At 53.5% G+C, this 17,761-nt stretch overlaps 2 annotated features.

Annotated features, from left to right (window-relative positions):
• Nucleotides 800-1,797: an enhancer, noted in NCBI's record as "H3K27ac-H3K4me1 hESC enhancer chr3:194751125-194752122 (GRCh37/hg19 assembly coordinates)". NCBI's record gives its function as "activates a minimal SCP1, AML or CMV promoter by ChIP-STARR-seq in naive H9 embryonic stem cells {active_cell/tissue: H9 hESC(naive)}" and the evidence as "EXISTENCE:reporter gene assay evidence [ECO:0000049][PMID:30033119]".
• Nucleotides 1,798-2,796: an enhancer, noted in NCBI's record as "H3K27ac-H3K4me1 hESC enhancer chr3:194752123-194753121 (GRCh37/hg19 assembly coordinates)". NCBI's record gives its function as "activates a minimal SCP1, AML or CMV promoter by ChIP-STARR-seq in naive H9 embryonic stem cells {active_cell/tissue: H9 hESC(naive)}" and the evidence as "EXISTENCE:reporter gene assay evidence [ECO:0000049][PMID:30033119]".

Consider the following 17,761-nt stretch of genomic DNA (forward strand, 5'->3'; position numbering starts at 1 on the left):
TTTTGTTGCATACTGTCAGATTTGTGATGAATGTAGCACAGCGTGGGCGTGAAGTCAATACAGAGCCTCCTGAGAGCTGCCCCTGTGGCCCAGCACAGACTACTTCTTGCCCCTTGTGTGGCTGGCTGTATGTGCAACTGTCTCTGCGGGCAGGACCTGAATCCTCCTCACCTCTGTGGCTGTAATGTGTCTGGAATGAATGAATGAATGAATGAATGAATGAATGAACAAATGAAAAAAAGGGATCGGCCGGGCGCGGTGGCTCATGCCTGTAATCCCAGCACTTTGGGAGGCCGAGGTGGGCAGATCACAGGAGGTCAGGAGTTCGAGACCAGCCTGACCAACACGGAGAAACCCCGTCTCTACTAAAAATACAAAATTAGCTGGGCGTGGTGGCACGTGCCTGTAATCCCAGCTACTTGGGAAGGTGAGGCAGGAGTATCGCTTCACGCCGGGGGCAGAGGCTGTGGTGAGCTGAGATCGCACCATTGTACTCCAGCCTGGGTAACAAGAGCGAAACTCTGTCTCAAAAAAAAAAAGGATCAATAGAACCAAATCAACTGAAATGAATGGGTCACAAAGGACATCGCTGGAACATTGAATTATTGCCTGGATTTGGATTTAAAATGTTAAGAGTATTGTAGAGATTTAGAATAACTTTGAGTCCTCCAACATCCAGCAGAAGGAAAGATGGGATACTGTGGGTCGAAGGATGGGGTACTCTGGGTTGAAGGATGGGGTACTGTAGGTCGGGAAAAAGGAAGAGGGGCCAAGTATTGCGCCGGTTTTCTGTGCGATGAGTTTAAGGTGTTTTCGGGCCTCCAGAGTAGACCTCATCTGCTGGGTTGGGTTTAAGGGAGAGACCCATGGCTTTTTACCAGCTGTGCAGCAGGTTAGCAAACAGGCTTTTACCCTGAAGCCACTGGATATCCCCGAGCTTCAGGAGAGAACCCTGGAAACCCTACTGCTCTTCAGAATCAACAAGCCCTGGAATGTTTCTGGCCAGAGCCAGGCAAGGACAGAGATTTAAAGGGGATGTGACAAGTGTCCCAGGTAAGTGACACCCAGGCCCAAACTGGAAGGGTACCAGCATTCTCCCTGTTTGAGGATCCTTGTCAGGGACCTCAGCCATAGGGAACATCTGAGCTTGGCCTCTGAGCCCTTCCGTCCACTCCTAGCACTGCCTCCACAGCCCCAAAGAAGACCCCACTTCTCCTCGAGGGTGGCTGGCCTGCTGGCAAAGACCATTTCCTCCTCCTCCACTTGGGAAGCCAGGGGAGCCTGGCCCGGCCCATCAGCTGGGCCAGAGGGCGGTACTGCCCTGGGGTGCCCTGAGGGAGAAGGGCAGGGCTCCGGGTGCCTGTGCAGTGCTGGGCCTCAGCAGGGGCCTGGCCCAGTGTGACCGCAGCGCCACAATAGCCAGGCTCCCCCCGAGGGCATCTTGTACGCAGGCTGATACTTTGAGCTTACTCATTCCAAACCCCTTTGCTGTCCTTCCTCAGGAAGCTTCCTATTGAAAGATAAATGCTCTGTCTGTGATCAAACAGATTTACATTTATTTACTTTCCTTTCCTCCCAGGACTGCGCCAGCCCAGACAAGTCCAAGAGGAGGATTCCAGGCAGTTAAGATGGTTTCCGGAGAAGCCTGGAATTTCCCCGTAAGCACAAGCTCGGCAGAAAAAGGCAGGGTCCCTCGGCAGCCAGGGCAGGGGCTGAGTCAGTCCCAAGTCTCCCTGGCAAATGGATCACCCCTTAGGGTGGGAAGAGCCCCCCAGCTGTGTGGGGAACCTGGCTAGAGGTTGCTGAACCTCTGCTTTCAAGGAGTCTTGTGACCCCGGGAGCATAGAACAATCGCGGAGGCGCTTACATCCAAAATCCATTTTCCTTCAAAAAAGTGTCCAGGTGGAGGTAAAGAAAGAGGACCCTGTATACTTTGGTAAATCTGTGATTTAGCTACAATGTAACTGGGCCTTGGGAACCCAGGGTGAGGTTTCTTATGTGACATCTCCTGGAAAAGCTCCGCTCAATTCCTGAAAAATCCCTTATCAGACACCGACAGGAAACAGGGATTTCCAGGGAAATGGATGTGGAAGGCACCTGAAGGCCATTCCAAAACTCCAAAGTTTTTATTTATTTTACTAACTTAGGTGACTTAGACATACAACTTCCTGCAAACAGTGCATTCAGCTTTGTGTTCCTAAGCAAATAAATGGAACAGAGGCCACCAAAACTAGGCCCGCTGGAAAGGGCAGAGCAGATGCCCTTACACCCATAGCCCCTGGGGGTCATGCCTGTGAGTTCTTGCATATCAGCTTGTGACAGCGTTGTGACCTGCCCCTTTGTCACCTTGCCACCACATCACCCCCCAGGGGTCTGGGCATTTCCTCGAAGCTGCTTCCAGGACAGGATCAGGAACGTGTTACTTGGGTGGGGGGCTGGGAGGGAGGCAAGGAGCTCTGGTTCTGCCCATGTCCTCCAGCCTCGAGTGTGCAACTGCTCTTCTGGGAACTTGGGTCTCCTCATCTGAAACACAGGGAATTAGAGAAGATGATTTTGTAACGCTCGAAGGCTCTGTAATCCCCAAAAACATGCTCTAAAGGGATCTCCAGTCCAGCATATCAACCCAAACAAAAGACAACGCTGTGGTTACTTGTTCAAATGCCTCTTTCTTCTTGTAAACAGTGCACTCCCAATGACAGAGGCCCTCTGCTACTCATCATCTAGGTAGCTGACAGGTGGCTGCCTGCGGTACCTGATGTTTGGACAGACAAACAAATGACCAGGTGACACCCAAGTGCGATTCTCTCTGATCGCCATCCTGTAGCCTGTCTCCTTAGCTGGGCTCCAAGCTCTTTGGGGAGCGAGGAACAGATCTGTTCTACATAGAATCTCCAATCAGAGCTGACGGTGGCTCAGGAAGCACCAGGGTGCCCAGGCTAGTTGTTGAAATATTGAAGTACTTCTGTGCAGTTGCTGAGCCTGAGAGAGCCTCTCTCCCCTCCCCCGCCACCAAGCCCAACATCTATCCGAAGGTTTCCTCTCCACCATCCAGCCACTGAAGGGTGGTGACTGATGTAGCAGGGCTGTAGGCCTCTGCTCCAGGACTGTATATGCCTGGTGCCATTCTGATTGGCCAGCGCCCTTGCCATACTGTCGTTAAATGTTGAGTGGTAGACCAGCCCAATGCAGGTGATGGGGAGGGAGAGCAGATGACTGGTAGGTGCCACCTGTCACCTGAGAATAGATATATGTAGGCCCTGCTTTCCCAATGGACTGAGAATGTTCCCAGCAAAGAAGTGGGCAGTGTGTGCTGCCTGACCCCAAGAAGACACATGCCCAGATCCCTAGCTGGACAGAACGAGGACCTCCAAGCACACCTGCAGGCAAAGGAATGGGCTGAGTCTCAGCCCCCCGGACTTACGAGCCAGGCGGCCCCACCTGTCTAAACTTGCGTTTCCTCTTCTGTACACAGGAGACAGTTAAACCTACCTTCCAGTTTGCGTGAGGACTTGTGTCTAACACGGGCTCTGATCTGTACCCACAGGTAGGGCTTTCCCTCCTGACAAAATCTTATTTTGATAAATCAGGACTTTAAAAATGACCAAGTGGTTAAGCAAGTGCATTCCGTCTGTGCAGATGCATCAAGCTGTTCGCTTACCTACACAATTCTGTATGTAGAGCAGACGATGATCCAATGCCAAAACATCAAATATATATTCTTAGGCATCAAAAGTATTATCAATAAAAGTTAAGGTGCTAAAAAAGAATGGCTGAGCAAAATCTAGAATTTGAGTCCTAGAGAAAGTTCCTGAGACAGGTCTCTTTCAATCCTGAGTTTCCTGACAGCAGGGGCTGGGAGCATATCAAAACAGTCCTTGCTAGAATTTTCCTCCTAAAGCTAAGTGTTTAACCGGTGCATTTTAGCAACAGCAGAGCTGGAAAAATATATCTGGGTAGAAGTAGCAGACAGACAGCGGTCAGCGAGCCAGGAGGTCGCAGGCCACAGGCCTTGGGCAGTCACACCTGCAGAGTAAACACTGAGTCAGACTGGGTTAATTATGCAGAGATTGATTCTGGCTTGAAAGAGGAAGGGAGAGCCGCCTCACTGCATACTCGGAGGTGGGCCTTGGCTAGGTGGATCTAACAATTGATTATTTTATTTCAGATCCAGGGAGTGTTGTGATATTGACCTTCAAGGTTCAGAGAAGAGTGTTTAGGACACACAGTGAAATAGACAGCTGCAGTCCAAGCCACAGTGGAATTTCTAGTGTCCTCTGCCCTTCTGGGGCAGGCTAGGGCGGGGTGGAGCAGGGAGACGGCTTCAGGCCTTTCTAATTTAAAAGGACAAGGACCAGGGGCTGGATGCCTTTCCGTTTCACACCCGCGGCTTCCCACTTCAGGAGTGTTCCTGTGCTTCCCACCTTGGCCTGTCTTCAGACGGGCACCTGGACGTGGGGCTTGGAGATCCAACTAGTCCCCAAGTTCACCCAAGACAGTTTGTTCCCAGGAGCTCATTTAACACTAGGCTGTTTGCAAGTCAAAGTGCGTCCCGTGCAAACAACATCCCAAGAGCACTGAGCGTGGCCAGCTGACCCACGAAGTCTATGACCCATCCCTGTACCTTGAAGTCCTGAAAGCTCTGGACCTACCACCATGTTGCCACGAGCACACACTCTAGATCTGAACTGCTCATTCGGTGGACGCTGGGAAGTGGGGACCCTGTGTCCACCAGTGTTCCTTCAGCACACAGCCACTGAGTGCCTGCTCGGGGCCAGGTCCTTATTTAGGGAAACCAGAGAGATGCCTCGTATACCTCAAAGGTCTCAGTTTAGGGCAGAATTCAGGACAGGTTCCAAATACCTACACCTGAGACCAAAAATGGTCCTATTAGGAGAGGTAGATAATGCCTGGAGAGGGGATTTCAAGGTGGGGAGGCCACATCCAAGTGGGGTGGAAGCAGGGAACTGAAGAGAAACTTGGGAGGATGGGCTGGACTTTGAAAGGCAGGGAGGGGAGGGCGTCCCAGGCCGAGGATAGGTGTGAGCAATTTCCCTTTCCCCAGGCTTTGGAAGGGGAACCGGGGAGGAAGGGCAGGCATGAGCCACGGCAAGGTAGGAACACCTAAGGGAGGCAGCAGGCGAAGCCCCCCAGCTCCTGCCCAGGCCCCTCCACTGTGCGTGGAGGGATGCAGGCGTGGCTCCGGCCCCTCTGCTCTGCATGGAGGGATGCAGGCCTGGCTCCGTGGGAAAGGTGAACTGAGGCACAGAGTCTCCTTCCCCAGCGCTGAGGACTGGGGAGTGGGTCTCCAGCAGCTCCTCACACTGCCTCCTGGCCGGGGCCTCAGAGAAGCCAGCCCAAATCCTGGCCCGGATCAGAAAAATCCCAGGTGATTAGATCCAGAGGGGATGGAGTCCCAACCTCTCCAGGCCACTCTGGAGGCCGAGGCTCTGAAGAGAAAGTGCCTGCCAAACGCTGCCCTTGGCCTAAGGAGCTTCCTGCAGCCAGGGCCTCACCTGCAAAGGGCTATGAAATCACCTGTTTTGCTTCATGATGATGAAGATTAAGTTTAAATCATATACGTCTGTGGGGGTGAAGAACAGCACCTTGAATCCCTTGCAGGTGGAGAGCGTGGAGGCGCAAAGGTTCTACTGGCTCTTCCCAGGCGCCCCCACACAAACTGGACTCCAATCCAGGAGGAAGCACGGAGGCGGCCTAACCTGGGCCCTCCTCCATCCACGGAGCTGAGGGCCCAGAGAGGGAGGGCAACTCGCCCTCCACCACACCCCGCACAGCAGCTCCCTCCTTCCCCAGGGCCCAGCCCTGACACCTCCTGTCCCTGCCGGAGCCCTGCACCTGAGGACCCAGAGCCACGCGGGACCTTCTTTCACAGCCAGGAGGCGTCGGGGAGCTTCCCAGGCTGACTCTGCTTCCCGTGCTTTCCCCACCGCCCCCGCCAGAAACTGGGGCCCAAATGGCAGCATCCCCACCCCACGGCGCCCCAGCGCTGCAAAGCGCAGCCCTTCCGTAAACGGCCTGGGGAAATGAAGTTGGTGGACTCTGCCTGTCCTCGTCCGGTGTCACCTCCTGCCGGCCTCCTCATTCTGCCAGGGCTTCTGGCTCCTCACCCGGGCACAGAGGCCCCTTCAGCAGCAGGGATGGGGGCATTCGGAGAAGGACTGGGGCCGGCTGATCCTGGCCTGACAGAGGCCTCCTCACCCACTGGCACCAGCCCTGCCCTGAAGACGTGGTCGTAGCATCGATGCAATCGGGGGGGAGCGTGGTGGGTGGGGCACAGCCTGAAGGAGGAGGTCGAGCAAACACGTGGCCTCAGCTGGGACGCAGCACTGTCTGCAGAGCCCCTCGAATCCAGCTCCACATCTGGTTCTCGGGGGCGCAGGGCTGCCCGTGCAGGATTATCGACCCTGTTTTCAGGGAACAGGAAACTGAGGCCAAGCGAGGGGTCCTGAGCCGCCCAAGGTCAGAGAGGTGGTGAGGGGGAGAGATGCAACAGGGGGGTCCCCAGAGTAAGGGCGGGCAGGGCGGATGCCTGTGCTGAGATGTGGCGCCGAGGCCTTACGAGCACCCACTGAAGGTCTGTTCAGTCACCCCAAGAATGTCTGGAGCCCGAGTATCATCTGGCAGCCACCCTGGAGAAGGAACCAAGAACGCGGGGGGAGTCGGAAAGGGGGGCCCACCGAGGGGAGAAAGGGGTCGGCGCCGCTGTTCGGGCTGGTTGCTTTCTGGGCTCCTGAGCCCGGTGCTGTCCCACCCTCCGGGAAAGTCTAAAGCAAGAGGTGCCACCGCCCTCCGTGTCCTGCAGGCTGAGGAGCAGTGACGCTATTCAGCAAGATGAGAAACACGGGCAGGAGGTAAGAACTGAGATCTCCTTCCTGTCGGCATCTGACGGGAGGAGGCATGTGAATCCCAGGAGAAAACAAAACCTAGAAAGCGGCTGAGCCAGGAGACCCCTGGGCGGTGGGCTTAGCAAGGGGCAGGGGTTACCCACAGTCCTCCCTAGCACCTCGTCCCCATCCTCTGCCTTCACACCTGGGACTCTCTTCCATGCTGGGGGAAACCTTCAGATGAATTGATTCTCGCTGAGGTTGTGCAGACCCCAGTGCACAGCCCCCAACCACAACCCCTTCCCTCCTGGCAGAGCTCGCTCTGGAGCAGCTGGAGGTCCAGCTTGATGTTTTCCCAGGACAGTCAGAAATCAGACCCAGCCAGCCCACCCCCCTGCAGGTCCACTCTTTGAATACCAGATGGCGGGGGCAGGGGAAGTCTCCTTAAAGCAAAAAGGAATAAAATTTGGAGACACAGTTTGCGGGGAACCAGAGGCCCACTCGGCTGTGGCAGCCACTGCTTGTTAGTCCTGATCTTTGTTCCCCGCTCTTCCATAGGATATTAAGCCGAGCACATAGATACTCAGAATAAAGACTGCATTTCCCAGCATCTCTTGCAGCAGATATGGCCACATGTCTAGGATCTAGTCAACAGGTAAATGCAACATTAGGGACTTTTCTTACAGGAAGTGGTCATACCCTTTCCTTCCTTCCTGGTGGCTGGAATACAGGCGTAATGGCTGGAACTGAAACAGCCATTTTTGATCATGAAGTAATCTTGGGAATTAAGCCAAGTTTAGAGAAGAAACAAGACAGAAGCATACTGTGTGTCCCTGACCCCACGGAGCTGCCACACTGGCCTAGCCCACCGACATTTTGAAAGTTTTATGGAAAAAAAATAGCTTTATAGTTTAAGTTGTTTGTTATTTGGGACAAAGTCAATATGAAATAACACACCTTTTTTTTGTTGTTTGAAGTAAACTTTTGTTAGTTTTTTAAATAATTTTTATTTGTATTTCAATAGTTTGGGGGGGTAAAGGTGGTTTTGGGTTACATGGGTAAGTTCTTTAGTGGTGATTTCTGAGATTCTGGTGCACCCATCACCCAAGCAGTGTACACTGTACCCAATATATAGTCTTTTATCCCTCATCCCCTCTCAACCTTCCCCTACCCCAGCCCCAGAGTCGATTTTATCATTCTTATGCCTTTGCATCCTCACTGCTTAGCTCCCGCTTATAAGTGAGAACATATGATGTTTGGTTTTCCTGAATCACTTCACTTAGAATAATGGTCTTCAACTCCATCCAGGCTGCTGTGAATGCCATTATTTCATTCCTTTTTATGGCTGTGTAGTATTCCATGGTGTATAAATACCTTATCCACTCATTGGTTGATGGGCACTTAGGTTGGTTCCATATCTTTGCAGTTGTGAATTGTGCTGCTCCAAATGTGTGTGCATGTGTCTTTTTCATATAATGACTTCTTTTCCTCTGGATAGATACCCAGTAGTGGGATTGCTGGATTTAATGATCGTTCTACTTTTAGTTCTTTAAGTAATCTCCATCTGTTTTCCATAGTGGTTGTACTAGTTTACTTTCCCACCAGCTGTGTGAAAGTGCTCCCTTTTCACCGCATCCATGCCAACATCTGTTGTTTTTTGATTTTTAATTATGGCCATTCTTGCAGGAGTAAGGTGATATCTCAAAGTGGTTGAAATTTGCATTTCCCTGATGATGATTAGTGATGTTGAGCATTTTTTCATATGATGGAGGCTGTTTGTATATCTTCTTTTGAGAATCGTCTATTCATGTCCTTTGTCCCCTTTTGCATGGGATTGTTTGTTTGTTTTTTTCTCGCCGATTTGTTTGAGTTCCTTGTAGATCCTGGATATTACCTTTGTCGGATGCATAGTTTGCAAGCATTTTCTCCTCCTCTGGGGTTGTCTGTTTACTGTGCTGATTATTTATCTTGCTGTGCAGAAGCTTTTTAGTTTAATTAGATCCCATTTATTTATTTACTTTTGTTGTTGTTGCATTTGCTTTTGGGTTCTTAATCATGAATTATTCGCCTAAGCCAATGTCTAGAAGAGTTTATCCAAGGTTATTAGAGGTTTTTAGAATTTTTATGGTTTCAGGCTTAGATTTAAGTCTTTAATCCATCTTGAGTTGATTTTTATATAAAGTGAGAGATGAGGATCCAGTTTCATTTTTCTACATGTGGCTTGCCAGTTTTCAAAGATCAGAGCAGAACACACCATTTTTAAAGGAACAAATCCAATCTCCTCCAAGAAACATGCCCAGAGCTCTCCAGGTCAACACAACCTTTCCCACACCTCCACGGCCATCAGAGCATTGGTCACTGGGTGCAGCAAAGCACAGTTGGAGTGCTTCTGCTTGCAGAGTTCTTTCACATGCAGTATTTTATTCATTTTCAGAACAGTCCAAAGTAGGTATTATTGTCAGCATATAATAAAGGTAGGGGCTGGGCATGGTGGCTCACGCCCATAATCCCAGCACTTTGGGAGGTCAAGGCAAGAGGATGGCTTGAGCCCAGGAGTTTGAGACCAGCCTGGGCAACACAGTGAGACTTCATCTCTACAAAAAAAATAAACAGAATTAGCCAGGTGTGGTGGCATGTATCTGTAGTCCCAGCTACACAGGAGGCTGAGATGGGAGGATTGCTTGAGCCCAGGAGGTTGGGGCTGCAGTGAACCAATTGTGCCACTGCCTGGGAGACAGAGCGAGACCCTGTCCCCCCAAATTATAATATAATAAAAAGCTAGGTACACATTGCCAAGTAACGACATGGTAGCGCGAGTGGTGACTGGTTTTCTGGTCTGGAACACTCTTCAGCTTGAATCTAAACGATGAATGCCCGGTTCCATCTCCCTTCCTGCCCTGTGAGCTGGGCGGGCTCATCTTAGGCTCAATGGGGCCTGATTCAGCTTTGATTCCTCAGGGCTGCGGGCCCCACCCACAGCAGGTGCTATGTAAATTTGTGCTGAATTGATTTGCTGTAACTGCAGCAAGGATTGATTTCTTCTAAGCTGCATTTCTTGGTTTGATATTCTCTTAAAAAGAGAAAAACTGCAAGGAAAGAAAAAAGCTGTCCTTTCAGCTGAACCCTTGGCCTGCAGGTAGCCAGGGCTTGGCAGTGTAGGAGGGATTGATCTGGAGGCCTCAGAGACTGAGCAGTGTGGGAGGGAGTGCTCTGGAGGCCTCAGAGACTGCAACAAACTGCTGAGAACCCAGAGCTGTGGCCACAGGAGGTTAAGTGTGGAAGGGACCCTGCAGCCAGGAAGAGCCTCTGAAGCTGGGGGCTCAGAGGTCCAGAGGATTCCACCAGCCCCACTCAGTGGTAGGGGAGACATGAAGAGCTTCAGGGAGGCCAAGAGAAGAGCTGGTTTCATAGCCAGGCTGTTTTGCAAATGTCACTTCATTGAATCTCACAGCATTTCTCTGGGGTTGGATGGCAGGCAACGCCATTTTTTTGATGGGGGATGGGGGATGGGGGATGGGGAACCGAAGAAGGAGAATTACAATGAATTCTTGCCTCCTAGCTATGAGAAAAAGCCACTGCCCCAGATGTACAATGCCCCGTGGGGAGACAGTGACCTGCCGAGTCTAACTCAGGAAAGAATTAGCTGTCCTCACCCCCACATTCACCCAGCGGCTCTGCACTGGTTTCAAAGGCCACCAAGTTCACGCCACACAACAGTTCTTCAAGGACCGAGGCAGACATTGCCCCTTTCGACGGAAGAGGAGCCTGAAACCCAGAGAGGGGAAGTGACTTGCCCAAGGTCACGCGGTGCCAAAGCTAGAGCCCGATGTCCCTCCTCCCACTGCCTGCAGCTCCTAGGTTGACAGTTGATCGTGTGCTTGCCAGTCTGCAAACCCCTCATGCTGCCTTTCACTGTGCCCAGAACGGGAGCCACAGTGGGGAGGAGAGGGTGGTGACAAGCTGAGCCCAAGCCAGCTATTGGAGAGTCCATGCCCCAGGAGTATCTCAGGATCACGGACTGCTAGAGCCAGAAGGACCTTGCAGAAAGTGAGGACACTGAGGCCTCAGAGGGGAGGGGACTTGCCCAAGGCCACACAGACAATGCCCTTTCTCATTGTTATGACAAAGAAACAACCAAACGGTGAGAAGGGGTGTTGTCTGCCCTTGCCCGTTTCCACACACAAGTGGAACCTGGAGTTCTGACCCCTCTTCCGCTCCTCCTGGTGACAGGGGCTCCCTCAGGAACCTGGCTTCTCTGGAGAGGCAGAGCTGTTCTTGGCTACCGAAGCACTCTCCCCTGCCCCCAGAAGTCCTTACTGTCTTTCAAGACCCCATTCAAATGCTACTTCTCTCAAGGATGACAACCCTCCCCCTGCATCCCCGCCCTGTCCCCTCCAACACCTGTGTCACCCGGCCTGCACCTCTCACGGCCCCCTCCCTGGAGTCACGTGTGGTCGCTGACTCATGACTTTGGTGCTTCCCAGGGCATAATCTCCAGGCACAGCCCATGCCCAGGCTCCCCAGGTTCCTGGGGGTATGAGAGACAGACATCAAAGGAGTTCCTGATGGAATGAGGTTAGCTGTGGCTGTGAGAAGCTGGGCTAGAGGACTCTGCAGGTGCCAAGTGCCTGTGGTCACGTGCTCTGGGCCTTGGGTGGCAGTTCCTGAGAGGGTGGCTTGTGAACAGCAGGTCTCGAAGGCTGGAGGAGTGGGCAGCTCCCGGCCAGGCCTTGGCCTAAGGGTTTTCCTGAGTTTAGGGCAAAGGTCCATGAAACAGCTGCTGGGCCAGCCTTCTGGTGACTGGAGCCACAGCCCTTTAAGAAACCTGTTAGTGGGGAACCCTTCAGGGGCTCCAAGTAAAGCCCCCCGCCCCCATTCTCTGGAGGAGAGGTGCCAAGCCAGGTCCCGTCATCCCCAGAAGGGCCTGAGAGGCTCCGGCTGGGGCGGCTGCCCTGGCATCTGCCCCAGGGGGCATGGGCTCAGCCCCAGCAGCCAGCACTCCATTCTGGTCACTGAGCCATGTAACATCCTCCCCAAACCCCACCGTCCCCTGGGTTCCCACCTGCCTACTGTTCTTGACAGATACATATGTATGTTATTTATTTATTTAATTATTTATTTTTGAGACGGAGTTTTGCTCTGTCGCCCAGGCTGGAGTGCAGTGGTACAATCTCGGCTCACTGCAACTTCTTCCTCTCAGGCTCAAGCGATTCCCCTGCCTCAGCCTCCCAAGTAGCTGGGATTACAGGCGCCCACCACCACACCCAGCTAATTTTTGTATTTTAGTAGAGACAGAGTTTCACCATGTTGGCCAGGCTGGTCTCGACTTCCTGACCTCAAGTGATCCGCCTGCCTTGGCCTCCCAAAGTGCTGGGATTACAGGCGTGAGCCACCGCGCCCGGCCTGTATGTTCTTTAAATAAAGAACAGAATAAACCCCAGCGTGAGTAATCTTCAAACTAATGAGAATCATTAAGTCAAGATGAGCATTTTCCCCTCATGTGCCTTAAGTCACTCTCCAGATGAGGGACAGCCAGCTGGCAGCTCAGCTAAAGGGACATGCAGGCTGGAGAGCAAACACCGTGGCCGGGACTGGCTCGGGCCCTGGCTTCTCAGCCCACCCTCTCAGTCGTTCTCTGCCCTCCCAATCCCGTCTAAGTGTCAGTTTTGAGGGATGTGGAAACGCGTGAAACACACCTCCATGCATATGAAAAAGAATGTTTATGACTCTTCTATTGACTTCAGCCCCTCCAAGACAGCCCTCGGGACTCCAGCAGCTGGGGGACTGGATTCCTTCCTCAAAGACAGCCCTTGGGACTTCAGCAGCTAGGGGACTGGATTCCTTCCTCAAAGACAGCCCTTGGGACTCCAGCAGCTAGGGGACTGGATTCCTTCCTCAAAGACAGCCCTCGGGACTCCAGCAGCTAGGGGACTGGATTCCTTCGATTGCCCTTCATCATGTTTCAGTGGGATTCTTGAAGCAGCCTCCTCACTCCACTGTCTCCCTACCCCCACCCTGCTGTCCTCAGAAGCCCCAGAAGCCCACGCTCCTGCAGCCAGAGGGACCATCCAAAGCTTCCATGAGATCTTCTCTCCTCTGCTTCAACCCCCGCCCCCCACCGTGGCTCCCCATCTCCTCAGGCAGTGATGCTCAGCACCCCCATGATGAAACAGCATCACCTGTGAGCTTTAAAAAGACACCCATGCTCAAGCTCCACCCAGACCCCAAAATCAGAATGCAGCGGGGGGCGGGGGGTTGGGGTACAGGGAGGCAGGCATGAACAACTTTTTAAAGCTGCCAGGTAATTCAAATATGCAGCTCAGTTTCAGAGCCATGGGTTTAAAGAGTAAGGGTGGGGAGGGGAATCTCCTTAGAGTGGAATGCTGGTGAGGAAGTAAGTCCGGGCGGAGCCAGGATTTGTAAATCATCACTCAGAGATCACTAATACTGATGCAGGCAGCTCAACAGATGCGAAAACCACTGAGTGAGAAGTTCCTGGGGAGCAGGATCTTCATACAGTCTCAGAGGAAAACCCCACAGATTAATGACAATTTACGAAGGGGAAAGGGCACCTGTACGTTAGGGAACCAAGTTCTAAAACCCAGCATCACCAGCCGTGGGGCTACGCCATGCTCCTCCCACCTGATGCAAGGGCAGGAGACGCCCCCATCCAGGTAGAATTTTTGCCTGTGACGTTCATTCTGAGTCAATGTTCTTCCTCAATCTGAAGAGTGCAGACTGTGGGCCATTCAAAAAAGAGCGGCCCAGGAGGTGGCATTTGAGGGAGGGGCTTCTTCATGGAGCTGCACGTCCTGGGGACTCGGAGGCATCTTGGGGAGGGTACTGGACCTCACAGCGTGTGGGTCAGGAGACACAGGTCAGTTTATTTAAATCTCAGAAGACAGCTCTCTGCTGACCTCAAGGTTACAACTGTTATTATTATCCCAGAGATGCCTTGTCTATCTGAAAAAGGGCCCATCTAGGGTGAGTGAGTGTTAAGGTTGTCCGCTTACAGGTCTGAGCCGGCCTGCCCATCTCTTTGAAATGAGCACAGCCTTAGGACAGGCACGGACTCTGGGCTGGGCTGCCAGACCGGCTCCTCGCCCCTCTCCGTTCCTGTCCCCACAGCCTGACCAGCCAAGTCCACAGGCACCACAGAGCTGTAAATCATGTCCTCCAACCTGCTCGTTGTCCCTGCTGCTGGCTCAGCCAAGGAAGAGGAAATGGGACCTAAATGCTTCCCAAAATCATCCGTATTCCCATCCCCATCCCTCTTCCCCCCAGATTCTGGTGCCCAGGATTTAGCAGAAAAAAATGTGCTGCCCTCCCATGCAAGTCCGCCAGCATTGGCGCCCCCCTCCCCGGCCTTTGTGCCTTAGCTCTCCTTCCTATGTGTACCGCTTCCTCTGCGTGGAAACACCATATGAATGCAATCGATATTTTTCTTACATGGGCAAGGATATCTAGGGATTCCCTGGAATGTCCAAGGACAGATGTGCAGAGACGGGAATGATGATCTAACAGAGCCCCTGTGGAGACCTGCGTAAGTGGCTCTCTCCCCAACCCAGGGAGCCTGCCCTCCCTCTCTGCTTGCATGAGGGAGAGACTGGGTCCCAGGAGATGCAGGGGTGAGGACTCCCCTCTGGAGAGCAGCAGCCTGCTCTGGCAGGGAGAGCACTGGATTGGGAGTCAGGAGCCTTGGGCTCCAGGTTGGGCTTGGCCACTGGCTCACAGAAGGACCCTGAGTGAGTCCCTTCTCTGCTCTGTTTTCTGTGCTGGCAAGGGAAGAAGGTGGAGCGGCAGGGTCATCCCTAGGTCCCCTCTGGCTGTCAATCCATGGCTCTGTGATGCTGAGCCAATCCCTTCTGGCCCCCTTGCCTCGTCCTCCCTGTGAACTCAGGGAATGCCTCAAGCAGGAAGGCACCTATCCACCCACATCAAACCAGGCCACCTTGCTCTCCCTGGAGGGCTAGGTCCCCCATGGGAGAAGCACTGACAGTTCCCGCAGATCTTTACTTTCTGGGTGGGTCAGGTGACAGGGAGGAAAGGGACCTGGAATGACATGGAAGCCCCTCTGAAGTCCCTCCTCACCCAGCTACTCCCCGACGCCTCTCAAGGGGCAGGGCAGTGGCACCCAGTCCCTGCTCCCCTCGAACAGGACTGCTTAGGCCCAGCCAGGCCTCCCCCTGGTGTCCTGCCTTCAGCCCACCCTGTCCGCTCGGCTGCTAGATCTTGTGTTACACAGGGCAGCTGCCCCCTCTTTCCTAAGCAAGGCATCTGCCTCAGTTTCCCCTACCCTTTCCGCAGTGAGCAGGACAAGCCCTGCCTCTCCCAAGGCTCAGGGAAAGGAGCCAGGCTGGGGAGATGCATTCTTCCACACCTTGGCCCATTGCGCGTGCTCCAACCGACGAGGTGCCACCTCAGAGACAGTCCCACCCCTGCCCATCCAGCCAGGTTCTCCTCTCCCTCTCCCCTTCAACAGGGAGTTCTGCGGGTGCTTTTTCATCTTGCCTGCTGGGGCCAGAAGTCAGCAGGCCTGGGCTCTGGACTGTCCTGGCTTCCGGCTTGCTGTGTAACCTGGACAGATCCTTCTCCAGAGGGCCTTGACTTCCCCATCTGCGGAATCTGAGGGGATTAGACCTGAATGGTCCTTCTCAGGATGTGGTCCTGGGTCCAGCAGCATCAACATCCCCTGGGAACTTGTTACAGATGCAGATTCCCAGGCCACACTTGGACTCACTGAATCAGGAACACTGGGGGTTGGGGCCCAGTTGTCTTTTTTTTTTTTTTTTTTTTTTTTTTTGAGACAGGGTCTCGCTGTGTTGCCCAGGCTGGAGTGCAATGGCACGATCTCGGCTCACTGCCACCTCTGCCTCCCGATTCAAGTGATTCTCCTGCCTCAGCCTCCCCAGTAGCTGGGACTACAAGCGCGCCACCACACCCAGCTAATTTGTGTATATTTAGTTGAGATGGGGTTTCTCTATGTTGTTGAAGCTGGTCTTAAACTCCTAACCTCAGGTGATCCACCTGCCTAGGCCTCCCAAGGTGCTGGGATTACAGGCATGAGCCACCGCGCCCAGCCAGCAATCTGTCTTAACACCCTCTGCAGGTGACCTGGGCTGCACTAGAGGGCCTCGGTGGTGGAGACCGCGATGGGCCACTCAGACTTGGCTTCAGAGTGCCGCCAGGAGACCGCCCTCCACCCTCACTCCATGCGGGGGTTGGCCTGGGCAGCAGGAAAGCACCTTTCGGGGCAGCCTATAGGAGCTGAGTGATTGGCTTCAGGTTAAAGGCCCCTCACCCCCACCCAGGGCAGTGCTGAAGGGCCCTCCAGCTCCTGACCTCCTGGGGTCAGCAGGGGCTTCAGCCTCCTCCTCGACACAATCCTGCTTCCTTCCTTCTCCCCCACGGGCCTCAATCCCAAGAGCTCTCTCTATACATGCCCTGCACGCCAATCACTGTGGAGTCTGCTTCCCGGGGACTCCAGCCTGCGGTAGCCTTGACAGGCTCTGACATTCAGTTCCCTTCTCCGTTCTCCTCCTCCACCTCCATCACTACAGCATGTTAAGCACTCACTGTGTGCAGGGCCCGGGATGAGAACTTTAAGTGCACTGTTTTGTCAATTCCCAAGACCACCCTGGGAGCTTCATCTTACAGGTGAGGCTCAGAGAAGTTAAGTGACCTGCCTGTGTCCCCCAATAGTAGGTGGAGGGTCGGGGCTGCTCTGTCTGATGCCACAGCCCAGCTTCTATCCAGCTCACCCTCCTGCATCTCAGGGAGGCCCACACACTCATGCGGACCTCTGGAGTTGTGGTAGGGGGGTAAAGAAAGGGGGACTAGGAGCAGGGTTCTGAAAATGCCTGTGACACTCAGGAAAGTGCCAGCTGACCCTGGCTTCCCACAGTAACCCCAGGGCCAGCAGCCAGGGCTCCTGAGCCATGCAGGAGATGCAGCCCCTATCCTCTAGGAACAAACAGGCCCATGGGGAAAAACACATGTATGTCCCTACTACAGGGCTGCCTCTGATGAGCCAGGAGAGGGGGCCCGGGAGGACTGGGGAGACTTCCTCTAGGACATGAGATGCAGGGCACCAGGCAGAAGCCAGGGACGTGCAGGTTCTTGGCGAACCTGTAGTGTGGGATGGATGGCAGGGGAGGGGCCACAGCCAGGCCACAGAGCGGCAATGACTGGAGCTTCTCAGGAGGCCAGAGCCAAAATGGCCCTCCAAGGGCAGCCAACCTGGGTGGCCAAGCGGAGGAGCCCTCTGGGTGGGGAGGAACTGCCCAGGCCTCCGGGGCAATAGGAACAGCTGCAGGTCATTCCTGGAAAAGGAGAATTAACCCAAGCCAAGCCAAGGCCTCCCTGCCTCCTGGGAAAGGCACAGTGGGGTGGAAAGAATGGAGGCTTTGGAATCAGAAAGCTCTGGACCACCCCTCAGCTCTCCCACATGCTAGGGATGTGGCTCTGAGCAAGCCATTTAATTTCTTGAAGCCTTGTGTCCCTCATCTATTGAATGGGCACAATGTCCCCTCCTTTCATGTTTAAATAACATGATGTATATCTAGCACGTGGAATTGAGCAGGCTCACAATGGCCGTTCCATCCTGTTCCACTTTATTTCAAGGCCAGTGACTTGGAAATTAACACGAAATGCCCACCACTCCTCCTGGAATGTGGCAAGTTATATTCAGTGGACCCTTCCTCCATGTAGAAGGCTCTTGGCCATCCTTGAAGATCCGTTCCAAAAGCTCCCTCCATCTTTTTTTGTTTGTTTGTTTGTTTTTGAGATGGAATCTTGCTCTGTCACCAGGCTGGAGTGCAGTGGCACAATATTGGATCGCTGCAACTTCTGCCTCCCGGGTCGGAGCGATTCTCCTGCCTCAGCCTCCCGAGTAGCTGGGACTACAGGCACGCACCACC

Source organism: Homo sapiens, chromosome 3, assembly GCF_000001405.40.
Source record: "Homo sapiens chromosome 3, GRCh38.p14 Primary Assembly".
NCBI lineage: Eukaryota > Metazoa > Chordata > Mammalia > Primates > Hominidae > Homo > Homo sapiens.